Source organism: Homo sapiens, chromosome 10 (assembly GCF_000001405.40).
Source record: "Homo sapiens chromosome 10, GRCh38.p14 Primary Assembly".
NCBI classification, from domain to species: Eukaryota; Metazoa; Chordata; class Mammalia; order Primates; family Hominidae; genus Homo; species Homo sapiens.
Genome location: NC_000010.11, coordinates 14763212 through 14775329, shown reverse-complemented (window position 1 = coordinate 14775329; position 12118 = coordinate 14763212). Strand labels below are relative to the sequence as shown.

Here is a 12118-nt window from a genome sequence, read left to right as displayed (position 1 = left end):
CGGGAAGATTCCGGAAAGATCCCGAAAAGTCCAGAAAGATTCAGAAAACACATCACACCGCATCTCTCCAGGCGAAAGATTGAGTCTACCTCCTATTTTAATAATGAAACAGCTGCTAGGGTCGTGGCCCTTCTAGGGGTCTTCATTTGTGATGGACAACTGGGTCGTTTTTGTTTTGTTTGGGGGAATAAATATTTGAAGGGGGGTAACCAAAGAAGGTTTTGCTGCTGTTATGATGTTATTGATACGCAGGCTGACGCTATTATGGCAGATGCTATCAGGCTACATTATCTTTATGCCTCCTAGGTAACCTGAAGCAATTGTCTATTGACTTGGCACTACCCTACCCTGAAGCGTCTGCCCTGCCTAGGAACTGTAACCGGAGCCACTCACATGCCTCCCCAACAGCTTTCTTTAGCCACTGACAGCATCACAGAAGGAAGAGCGCGAAATTGCCCAGGATGGACACTTTCAAAGGGGCCCCAGCGGCTAAGTGACTCTCAGGGAAGGTGGCCTTGCCATCCCAACTTCTATTTAGGGGCAACCACTAGCAAGTTCTTCTCTTCGGGCAATTGGAAAGAGTTCCTATAAGCAAAGTGGAGGTGATGTGGACCCCTGGAAAATTTCCTTGCCCCGTTTGAACTTTGCAATGATTCACTGCAAGTCATGTCCACGTGGAAAGCAAGACTCACCAAAAGACTGAAGTCTCCCTCTAGAAGCATGCATCCATTTCCGTGCTCAGCTCTGCTCGCCTGTTTTGGGAATACGAGGGAGAGTGCTTCCTTCAATCAGTCCGGCGTGGCTGATACTCATTCCACCGTCCGTGTGCAGCCTGTGGCCAAAGCAGGCAGACAGCCAAGACACCCAAGCGCAGAAGGAGCTCCAGAGAAAAGGCAAGATTCGAGCACCCATGCAGAGAGAAATGGCAGTGCGAATCGGAATTCAAGTCACCGCACTGCGGCCCAGCCCGCGGAGACGCCTGAAGATGTGCCCGGGTCCCTGGATGATGGGGCGGACTGTGAAGCAGTGGTGTTTCACGCTTCCATCCCCAGACCATCAATTATTGACACGCCCAAGGTGAGTGAGTGTTCGCTCTGCGATTATAGACGGGATGGAGCTGGAGGAGCGTTGGGATCATGTGGCGAATGTTTCAGCAAACAAACTCATTTAACCTTACTGAATAAGGCATTGCGGGCGTTCTCACTAGTGCGAAGAAGTGTGTTAAAGCCGTGTAGATTCTCAGAGTGTTCTCAAAAGATGTGGATGAGGCAATGATAATAAGCACTGGAGCCATGGCAATGACCGAAGGTAACCTTGAATTAACGGGCTAGGGTGCCTTAGAGCCAAAAATGGCTCACTCAATAACAGATTAGGAGTAAGATAGTTTACAAAAACATTTTTTTCCTTTTTCTATTTCCCCCTCCACCCCCACCGGTCTGTCAATTTATTTATATGAAAATCCACAATCTAAAAAGTTTGGCTAGGGAATTCACAAAACTGCCTCTACTTAAAATGAATCACATGATATCAAAGCAGTCTGGAAAAATTTGGAAATGATCATCAGTGTATGCCTAGTGGTACGGAAGGGAACTGACCTATAAAACTATTCATAATATGGATGTTTTTGTGATAATCTTCTGAGAGTTGAAGGCAGGAGGAGGAAGTTATTTAAAAAAAATGGTGCCACTGCTCTTAAGAGTTATTTACTTATTTTCTTTCCATTTTTGGCATCAGTGAATTTTAATTGTTGAGTATTCTGATTAGATGGAGCTGTACAATTATTTCAAAGTTCCCGGTAATCCCAGTTTGCAGATGCAGTGTAGAGGAAAGGTTTTCTAAAAGGTACACTCCAAAGATATCTCTTGACCATTTTTGGTCATTTCCTAGCCAAGTAGCTTAGGACCAGACTTAAAAAACTGAGAAGTCTTTGGGGATCCATCACTAAAGTATTCTGATTTTTTAAATCATTTTTCCACATCCGTTTAACAAATTATTTTTTGGTCTGGCTTGCTTCACAGAATCTAAGAAGCCTCCTTAGCAAGAACACAGCCAACCAGCAAAGATAGGGTTAAAACATCATTTAAAAAATAGTTTCATTTGACACCCTGCAGGTTTATATGAAATGACTGAAGCTTGGGTCTGTCGTCTGCATTCTGAAATTGGACAGAGAGTTTTACCATATCCTCTGTCACAGCAAAAACTGCTATGTTTTTTTCTAGCACCACTAAACCAAAGCCCATAACCAACCAGCAAAAACCAAAATTTTCAGTGTATAGCCACATCCAGATTAAGATATTTTTGGTAGTATTATAGGTAGCTGATTAGAATTCATGGCCAAGTTGATATTTGTTGGATATTTATGGTACCAATGATGTACAGTTTTAATGAACCGGAAGACTTTCTGTTGAGCAATGCAGACCCACCTTATATTACTGAAGACAGCCGCAAGAACAAAGGGTTACTTTGATTTTATCTTTCTGTTTTAGTTGCACATGGGACTCAGGGACTCAAGGCAAGCATGTGAATTCAAATAGAACCAATAACACAAAATGGGGCCACATCCATGTTTAGTGTCCACTTGGCAGGAGCAAAGCCATGGGTGGTCCACAGCGTAGGATGGATTACAGTTGGGAAGCCCGGAGCAGAGAGGACATTGTAACAATCCAGACAGGAACAACAGGGAGATAAAGTGGGAGGGGCTCCATGAGGCAGGACACGCGGCAGTTGACTGTGCGGTCCAAACCAGGCAGGGAGGGAAGCAGTGATGCAATGCAAACACTGAAATCAAGTGCCAGGAGGTGCAGGAAGAGGGCCTGATGTGGGTAAATGGGCATCTATTCTAGTTCAAACACCGAGAGCTAAGCTGTGCAGAGCACTTGTAGTTCGCTAGCCCTTATTCTAAGTGCTTTACACAGAGTATCTCAGCCAACCCTGGTGACAGTGAGGTGCATATATATATATATATATTTTTTTTTTAAGATGGAGTCTTGCTCTGTCTCCCAGGCTGGAGTGCAGTGGCACGATCTTGGCTCACTGCAGCCTCTGCCTCCCAGGTTCAAGCAATTCTCCTGCCTCAGCCCCACGAGTGGCTGGGACTACAGGTGCCTGCCACCAGGCCCAGCTAAGTTTTTGTATTTTCAGTAGAGATGGGATTTCACCGTGTTAGCCAGGATGGTCTCGATCTCCTGTCCTCATGACTCCCCCGCCCAGCCTCCCAAAGTGCTGGGATTACAGGAGTGAGCCACCATGCCCGGCCAGTGCATATTCTTATGGTGCCCATGTTACAGAGGAGGGCATGGATGCTTAAAGAGGGTAAGACATTTGCCCAAGGCCACAAAGAGAGGATGTGGCAGAGACAGGACTGGAACCCACTTCTGTTTGACTCCAAAGTCCATCCTCTGAATTATAATGTGCTTCTACTACTAATTAATTGTGTAGTGTTTGAGGATTTAGGATCAACTATTCATATGTGATCTCGCTTGATACTCAATCACATTTAAATATCATACATATTGGCTGGGCATAGTGGCTCATGCCTGTCACCCAGAGCTTTGGAAAGCCAAGGAGGGAGAATCACTTGAGACCAGAAGTTTGAGACCAGCCTGGGCAACATAACGAAGGTTCATCTCTACAAAAATGAATAAATTAATTCCATGTATTTATATGTTGATGTCGATATAATTATTATTTGTTTTTTAATTTATTTTTATTTGTTGTTATTTTAATTGATATATCACAGTTGTATATTTTTTGGGGTATGTATACATGTATAAATGTGTAATTAAATCAGGGTAACTGGGATATCTACCACCTCAAACACTTACCTTTTCCCTGTGTTGAGAACATTACAATTCCTGTCTTCTAGCTATTTTGAAATACACAATAAATTATTGTTAACTATAACTTCTCCACCGTACTATCGAATACTCGAATTTGTTCCTTCTAACTGTACTTTTGTATCCAGTAACCAACTCCTCTTAATGATATTCAATAACTATTATTATTTGTTTTTATTCATATGCTTTACCCTTTTCTACCATAGCTTCATGGTATATAACACCACAGAAGATGTCCATTTTGCATCCTGTGAGTGACAAAGCTTTGCCGCTGGCAGTGTGGGGGATTGCTTTGAGATCTTCTGATTAAAAGTGGCTTAGAACTGCCCAGATTTTTCATTACCAAGTGACTTTGCAATGGCATGTTTTCCCTTAGCAGATGATGAATGAGATGCTTTTATTACAATCTTGCCTGGCGGAAAAATATTTCCCTTTTGGATGCACTGATCCTCATTATTTAAGCTGCCTCTGTAGAGGCCACAAATAATCTTTTTTTTTTTTTTTTTTTTTTTTTTTTTAGTTCAGCCTCAGACATAAGGTAAGAAATGGGGACAAGCCCCTCTCTCTATCTTCAGTTACCTGATGTTCAGACAGGAGGGTGGCTCATTTATATTGGAAACAATATCTGGTTCAAGAGAGAAAGCTTGAGGTAATGAAGCTAAACAAACTAAGCAAATATGAAACATTTTTGTTTGGTTTAGTGATGAGCGCACATGTCTGTATTGAAGAAATGCTATTGATCAGTCTTCAACTTTTTGTATTCATCTCTTTTCTGTTCCAGACCTGAAACCAAAGTGATAACAACCCTAAAATGGGAATGTGTCTTATAATTGTTAGTACCTCTTAATGATAACTTTTCCCCTTCTTAGTGGTCTTGTAGTTGAAGTGTCATATCATTGATGGAATTGTAGACTCAACGAAATTCAGCAGTACTGCTGTTTATTTTATTTTATTTTTATTTTTATTTTTTTGAGGCAGAGTCTTGCTCCATCACCCAGACTGGAGTGTAGTGGTGCGATCTCGGCTCACTGCAACTTCTGCCTCCCGTGTTCAAGTAATTCTCCTGCCTCAGCATCCCAAGTAGCTGGGATTACAGGCGCCAGCCACCACGCCTGGCTAATTTTTGTATTTTTAGTAGAGATGGGTTTTCACCATGTTGGCCAGCCTGATCTCGAATTCCTGACCTCATGATCCACCCGCCTTGGCCTCCCGAAGTGCTGGGATTACAGGTGTGAGCCACCGCGCCAGGTCTGCTGTTTATTTTTTTAGTCAGTAGTTATTATGCTCTTCCTCCATGTGAGGATAGCATTAGCCCTGGGGAAACACTGATGATTGTGACTCAATCTGTGAGGTTGCTGATGTTCTAGTGGGAAGTTCCATTGGGTAAACAGGCAGAATCAATGCAGTATGAGAGGGCTTATGGCTCAGCACCGGATGGAATACAAACACAGGACGGCACTCCATGTTCAGCCTTGGGAAGAAGACAGGGGAAGACTAGAATACAGGGGCTTCGATCTTTTTCTGTTCTAATTGCGAATCCAACTTAACACTGCACCCAGCCAAGTTGAATGGTGCTGTTTCACTCCTCTCTCTCCCAGTGATGTACGCAGTGTGAGAAAGGGAGAGTTCACACACTAAGCAACTAAAAGTTTCAGAGTAGTTTGGTAGTTTGAGAATGTCTTCCTATAGCAGTTGTAAGTTCCATCTAGCTTGTACTTGAACTGGGAGTAGCCAGCCTCACATAGGAAGAGATAGTAATTGTAGTTTGGGAAATCATTTCTGGGGTTTTTAAATAAAGAGCCAATTGTGGCCGGGCGCGGTGGCTCACGCCTGTAATCCAAACACTTTGGGAGGCTGAGTGAGGGGTGAATCACGAAGTCAGGAGTTCAAGACCAGCCTGGCCAACATCGTGAAACCCCGTCTCTACTAAAAATACAAAAAATTAGCTGGTCGTGGTGGCGGGCGCCCGTAATCCCAGCTACTTGGGAGACTGAGGCACAAGAATTGCTTGAACCCTGGAGGCTGAGGTTGCAGTGAGCCGAGATTGCACCACTGCAATCCAGCTTGGGTGACAGAATGAGACTCCGTCTAAAAAAAGAAAAGAAAAACAAAAATGTCAGTTGTACAAAAGTGAAGGGAAACAGGGCCCATCTTGGAATTGACAACTTCATTGATTTTTGGAACAGGTTGGTTTAGCAACTGGGCAGAGAAGTGGTAACCAAGCCATCCTAGCACCCCAGCAGTGGCCTGAAGATTCACAGGCTCTGGTGGTTACTGAGCGTCTGAGCCTCAGCACTGCTGTCTCCAAACACAGTTTTGTCAGTCGGCTTTCTCTGAGAGAATAGAGACTCCCTGTGTTGCTGGATACAGCAGGGTCAATTTGATTTTATCTTCCTGTTTTAGTGACACATGGGACACAGGGGCTCAAGGCAAGCACTGTGTGTTAGAATAGAACCAATAACACACAGTGGGGACAACATCTGTAGTTACTGTCCACTTAGCAGGGGCAAAGTCATGGGTAGGTGTAGGATGGATTAGAGTCAGGAAGGTTGGAGCATCAAGGCCATGGTAATAAACCTAATAGGGACAGCAGGAAGATGAGGTGAGAGATAGTTTACAAGAGCCTGATGCGTAAGTCAGAATGCTCATTTAGTTGTAAGCTTTGAGCACTAATGGGTAGGGTTGCGCTGACTGAGCCACGTATTCTCCCCATTGGAAAATCACCAGTAAAGCGAAATGATAACCAAAAATTTGTTGGAAAGCATGGACTTAGAGGAAGGAGAGTGATTCATTTTATTGTGATAAAATACACATAACATAAATTTTACCATTGTAACTGTTTTAAAGTATATAATTCTGTGTCATTAGGCATATTCACATTGTGGTGCCACCATCATTCTTTTGCATGTAGATATCCAAATTTCTCAGCACCATTTGTTGACAACACTGTCTTTTCCCCATTGAGTGGTCTTGGCACCCTTGTTGAAATCATTTGACCATATATGTGAGGGTTTGTTTCTGAGATTTCATTCTGTTCCATTGGTATATATGTCTGTGACAGTACCACACTGTTTCGATTACTGTAGTTTTGTAGTGAACTTTGAAATCTCAAAGTGTGAGACTTCCAATGTTGTTCTCCCATTTCAAAGATTGTTTTGATCATTTGGGGTCTCTTGAGATTCTCTATAAATTTTAGGACGAATTTTTCTATTTCTGCAAAAAACATTATTGAGATTTTGATAGGGGTTGCATTAAATATATAGATATATTTGAGCAGTATTGACATCTTACATTTTCTAATCCATGAACACAAGATATTTTCCATTTATTATATTTATGTCTTCTTTAATTTCTTTCAGTAACATTTTGAAGTTTTCAATGTGCACTTCTTTTGCCTCCTAGGTTAAGCTAATTCCTAAATATTTTATTCTTTTTGATGCTATTGTAAATAAAATTGTTTGTTAATTTCCTTTTCAGAGTGTTCATTGTTACTGTATAGAAATGCAACTGATTTTTGTGCAGGGGTCTTTATCTTACAATTTTGCTGAATTTATTTATTAGTTCTGTACATTTTTTGTTTTCTACACATAAGATCATGTCATCAACAGACAGATAATTTTACTTCTTCTTTTCCAATTTGGATGCCTTTTATTTCTTTTTCTTGCTTCATTGCTCTGGTGGAAACTTACAATACTGCATTGAATAGAAGTGGCAAAGTAAGCATCCTTGTTTTGTTCCTGATTTCAGAGTAAAAGCTTTCAGTCTTTCACCATTAAATGTGAGGCTAGTGGTGGGTTTTTCTTATATGAACTTTATTGTGTTGAGGTAGTTTCCTTCTATTCCTAACCTTTTGAGTATTTTTTTTATTATGAAAGGGTGTTGAATTTTGTTAATTTTTTTTCACATCAATTGAGATGATCACATGTGTTTTCTTTCCGTCATTCTGTCAATGTGGTATGTTACACTGATCGATTTTTCTATGTTGACCATCATTGTATTCCAGGAACAAATCCCACTTAGTCACGGTGTAATCTTTTTAATATGCTGCAGTTTTCTGTTTGCTAGTATTTTGTTGAGGATCTTTCTATTAATGCTCATCAGGGGCCGGGTGCGGTGGCTCATGCCTGTAATCCCAGGACTTCGGGAGGCTGACGTGGGTGAATCATATGAGGTCAGGAGTTCGAGACCAGCCTGGCCAGCATGGTGAAACCCTGTCTCTACTAAAAATACAAAAATTAGCTGGGTGTGGTAGAGGGGCTATAATCCCAGCTACTCAGGAGGCTGAGGCAGAGAATGACTTGAACCCGGGAGGCAGAGGTTGCAGTGAGCTGAGATTGTGGCACTGCGCTCCAGCCTGGGCGACAGAGGGAAACTCTCTCTCTCTCTCTCTCTGTCTCTCTCTCTCTCTCTCTCTCTCTCTCTCTCTCTCTCTCTCTCTATATATATATATATATATATATATATATATACATACACATCAGGGATATTGTTCTGCAGTTTTCTTGCAGTGCCTTTGTCTAACTTTGGTATCAGGTTAGTGCTTGCTTTATAGAATGAATTAGGAAGTGTTCCCTCCTCTTCAGTTCTTTGGAGGAGTTTGAGAAAGATTCTTTAAATGTATGGTAGAATTCACCAGTGAAACCACATGATCCAAGTCTTTCTGTTGTTGTTGTTGTACAGTGTTTGATTATGGATCCAATCTCCATACCAGTTATAGGTCTATTCAGATTTTCTACATCTTCCTGAATCAGTCTTGGTGAAGAGGGGCTACTTTGATAGCATCACTGAGCTATGGCCATTATAAGTACCACTCATTGATCATCAAATGAGTACTAGCTCATTTGATCCTGCTAGTCCTCTTACAATATCAGTTCCTGATAATCCCACTCACTCTTCTGCTCAAAACCCTCCAAATGCTCCCTATTTCCCTCAGAGTAAAAATCAAATCCCTACAGTGGCCCACAAATCCAATACAAAGTACCTCTCTGAACTCACCTCCTATTGTTCTACCTGACAAGGAAACTGGAACTCCGTGAGGCTACTAAGCATCTAATCCATTTCCACTCTAATGATAACCCTCCAAGCAGCATGGGAAACTCAGGTCAACAGGTCAGACATAACTTCTATGGGCTGTGCAGAACTCATGCTGCAAATAACTAAATAACTTTTCCTTTGCTCTCCTTGTCTAGGCTCCATGCCCATCCTTTGTCTTTTCTTGGCACAGTCTTTTCTAATACCTAGGATCATTTCATTAATTTAGTTTCAGTTCCTTAGTTAGAAGCAGATCCAAAACATGTTCCCCTGAAGCCATCTTAATTGAAATTGGGTGTCTGAGAGACTCCTCGGATATCTATTAACAGAAAAGCTCTTGGAACTCTTGTTCACCTCTATAGGTAAATGATATTCAATATATTGATTTTTATTTCAATGTCTTGAAGTTGTCTAGAAGCCAAGACTTGGGGGTACCATCTGCAGATGTCAGTGCTGCTTGGAAGCCTATTATAAACTCATGTGTAATCACCCATCACCCATCATCCTACCTGCACTCTGCATCCCCCTTATCTAATAGCATTACTGGGATCAGCTCTACTGGGATCAGCTCTGCTGGGCTATATTTCCATTTTCTGGTACAAACCATTTTTCCTGCATTTCTTTAGAATGAAACCTTCCCTACCTTTCCCTATGGGCCTGAACAGAAGATGAGAGAATTTTAGCCTACCTACAAAAACAAATGCCCTATTAGTGAAGGTCTCTGTTAAACATATTGTTTGACATCAACATTTTAAAATATATGGTAAATAATAGATTATTGCAATCAAACATTAATTTTCTAGTTCCTTTTTATTCTCCTGAGCAAAATTACTGACTGTCCCTCCTTCCACAAACACAGAAGATATTTGAGTGGCCTAGTGAGAATCCCATTCCATTCCATTTCAGCCCTGATCACTTCTTATGCCAGCTTTCTACTTTCAAAAGATGTTAAACACAGTGGCATGATCGTGCATGATATACCCAGTCAAGAATTTTCCAATCTGGATATTTAGTTGCATCCCAACCGGAAAAGAGAGAGGCAGCTTCTTGGCTTCTCTTAGAATGCAATAAATGGATAGCTCTCATAAACCATGAAAATTTACATGGTGCAGATTTGGCTATTGGCAACTCTCCATAAAAGACTGCAGAGAGTGGCAAGAATGCAAAATTTTCAGACAATTCAGAGATGAAAGGCATCGACTTATATTCCAAGCTAAGACATAAAAGATGAGGGAATAATTTAACCAAATTTTAAAGCACCGTTTATTTTCAAGTGAGGTTACCATTGCATTTCCAATTCAGTTAGAAATAGGGCATGTTCTGTGAGTAGGTATTGATATATTGGGGGAGAGAGAGTCAAAGGGAAGAGGTCGACCCATATCTTTGAGCAGCACTTATTTCCAGCTTGTCAGAGAAAAATCTACCAATCTGCCCAGGACCTGGTTGTTCCTTTGCCTTCAATTTTCACAGGTAGAAAATGCAAGTTCAGGGTTGACGTCCTTCATCGGCAGTGGCCTAGAGTGCCTACCCAAAGAGTCACTGGGGAGATTTCAACTTATTGACAAGACCCATTTTTCTAAAATACCTACGTGTGTATAGCTGAAATTTCCAGTCTCTTGATGAAATAACTTGCAGTTGTGCATCAGTTAAAAAATAATAATTTCACTATTCCACTCACTGGGTATGTTGGAAACTTTAAAATGTCTTACGGTCTAGGAACCATAGGGGCTGGTTGAATGGATGTGCTACATCAATTATGGGAAATTAGAGATTTCTTTTTCCAGCCACAGACATGGTTAACCTGATCTGAACTGCTTTTAGTTTTCCACTTGCAGTTCCTCCTTTCCAAAGAAAATATGGCTCCTCAAGTTAACACTTTTTCCAATATAAGATTGACACTTGGTTTTGTAATTCTGCACCAGGGAAGGCCGGAGGTTGGAAATTTTAGGCAGTTAGAGGAAGGGGAATCCTCCACAAAGGACATCAAAATGCCGTGGGAGGTGTTTATGATCTTGTTCTGAAAAGCTGGTTTGTGTGTGTTTCGTGTTCAGTTAAGTGGAAAATGACAACTGAGGCAACTGTTGGAACCTAAGCACATAGGCAGGATTTGATTGCCCATCCTAAAGGAGAAACTTCCCGGCAAATGAGTTACGTGCACAGTCCTGTAACTTAAAACATCAAATCTCAACAAAAAAGGGTAGTAAGATGTGCCTCACATAACTTATTAATTATAATTAGTGCAGGGCTATTTGCAAATGAGAAGTTGACTTTTAAAACTTAAGGAATTTTTGATATAAAACAATGCATGATCGTGTAAAAGTGCAAACTGTTTATATGAACACCTAGAGTTAATTCAAAGTTATCTCTTTTGTAAAACCACTCTCACCCATCTGCTTTCTGGTATACCAGCTCAAGGTGGGAAGAAAGGCAGCAGTAGAGATGGGAAGTTGCAGGCCACCAGGAATTCCTGACCACGCTCCTGACTGTGAATAGTGGTACAAGAAAATCATAGACACAGAGGCCGAATAAAGGGTGAAACCCGGTCTAAGGAGGCTCTTGAATGGGGACAGCAATGTGTATACCCTTAAGCAGTAATAATAATGTGTATACCTTAAGCAGCAATCTGTATACCCCTAAACAGTAATAATTCCTCTCTATCTGGAAATCGTTTTCCTTTTTGACCAAGCTGGATGCTTTAGGTGGGGTCAGACTTGAGACAGTAAGGGAACAAGGTCACCAGTGGCTTAGATCCTGGTACTTGGGGAGGTGATGGATCTCCCAGATGGCTTTCATCCCCAGGTCTTTTCTGAGAGTTCCGGAAGTGCTGTCTTTAGGAAAGACAGCCCTTTTGACTGAGTTTTTGCCGGAACCCTTCTGACCTGGCTGCGTAAGACTTGCGTCTCTATAGGCAGAAGTGACTTGGTGCAGTGATGTTGCAAATAGGCCTGAGGTATTTTCACCCTTCAAAACCATGAAGCAAATATTGGTAGCCTCTAACAATTAGAGGCACGTGGGGGCTACATGTCTGTCCTCCTACAGCTTGCTCCCTGGTGATACGTTGCAATAGAGAATGTCTCACGTGAATTCTGCCACAAGTACAAACATCTGCTGGCAAGCAGGCACAAAAGAGTCCTATTTCCTGATCCTGTATACTGAACAAAGTCACCAGAATCTGTCCTTTTATTATTTACGTTTTTATTTTGAGACAGACTCTCACTCTGTCACCAGGCTGGAGTGCAGTGGTGCCATCT

At 41.6% G+C, this 12118-nt stretch overlaps 1 protein-coding gene across 2 annotated transcripts in view; it reads left to right on the top strand.

The window, feature by feature from the left end:
* The first annotated feature begins 432 nt into the window (after nt 1-432).
* The window catches only part of FAM107B (family with sequence similarity 107 member B), a 256341-nt gene continuing 244655 nt past the window's right edge, over nt 433-12118 (top strand). For both annotated transcript variants that reach the window (NM_031453.4, NM_001282695.2), the window contains exon 1: nt 433-1077. In NM_031453.4, coding sequence (NP_113641.2) covers nt 667-1077 — 411 coding nt within the window. In that variant the 5' untranslated portion in view covers nt 433-666. The remainder of the gene's footprint in view (nt 1078-12118) is intronic.